The sequence below is a fragment of the Homo sapiens genome, chromosome 3, assembly GCF_000001405.40.
Source record: "Homo sapiens chromosome 3, GRCh38.p14 Primary Assembly".
NCBI classification, from domain to species: Eukaryota; Metazoa; Chordata; class Mammalia; order Primates; family Hominidae; genus Homo; species Homo sapiens.
The window spans coordinates 57,958,257-57,959,277 of NC_000003.12; the positions used below are offsets into that span (position 1 = coordinate 57,958,257).

The 1,021-nt window shown below is 57.1% G+C and overlaps 1 annotated feature.

The window, feature by feature from the left end:
• Nucleotides 363–944: an enhancer, noted in NCBI's record as "H3K27ac-H3K4me1 hESC enhancer chr3:57944346-57944927 (GRCh37/hg19 assembly coordinates)". NCBI's record gives its function as "activates a minimal SCP1, AML or CMV promoter by ChIP-STARR-seq in primed H9 embryonic stem cells {active_cell/tissue: H9 hESC(primed)}" and the evidence as "EXISTENCE:reporter gene assay evidence [ECO:0000049][PMID:30033119]".

Here is a 1,021-nt window from a genome sequence, read left to right on the forward strand (position 1 = left end):
CCAGGTGGTGGGGATAAAGTCTCGCTCTGTTGCCCAGGCTGGAGCGCAGTGGCACAATCTTGGCTCACTACAACCCCCACCTCCAGGTTCAAACGATTCTGCTGCCTCAGCCTCCCTAGTAGCTGGGATTACAGGCACTTGCCACCATGTCTGGCTAATTTTTGTATTTTTAGTAGAGACAGGGTTTCACCATGTTGGCCAGGCTGGTCTCGAACTCCTGAACTCAAATGATCTACCTGCCTCAGCCTCCCAAAGTGCTAGGATTACAGGCGTGAGCCACCGCACCCAGCCTCACAGTAGGGTTCTGAACAAGGGTGGGACAAGCAGATGTGGCTTAAAAGAAGGTGGCTCGGCTGGGCGTGGGCGCCACTGCACTCCAACCTGGGTGATAGAGCGAGACTCCGTCTCAAAAAAGAAAAGGAAAAAAAAAAAAAGAGTGGCTGTAGCTATGGGGTGGAGGATGGTCAGCTCCCAGTGGTGTTGAGTGGGAGGACAGGGGACCAGCCAGGAGGCTGCAACTGGACCTCCTTCTGTGGGGCCTCCAGGGGAGGGCGTGGCACCAACCCTCCTTTCACCTTTTCTCTGTCCCTCCTTCCTCATTCTTTTTCTGTCCCCTGCCCCACTTCCTGGGGCCCAGAAGAGCCTGCCTATCTGATAAGCTCTGGGGAGTGCCCACTTCATGGCCTGCTGCTCCTGGCAGTCTTTAACTGGTTTCTTCTGGAGATGGTGCAGGGGCTGCATGGTGGGCACACGGGACAGCATGCCTGTGGGGGCGCCATGAGAAGGGGAGGGCCTGAACCCCCAGGGTGGGCTAAGGTGCAGGTAGAAGGCCAGGGGAGAGTCCTGCAAGAGCTACTCCTGGCCGACTCAGACCCTCTTGCCCTTCTTATCGGGCCTGAGGAGCGATAAGGGGCCAGTTCCTGGACTGTGGGTTCTAGGCCTTTGTTTGGGACCGCCAGGAAGTGACTTGGTTTTGCTGTGGCTTAAGCAGTGTGGTTGATTCACCAGGGTGGGGGGCTGG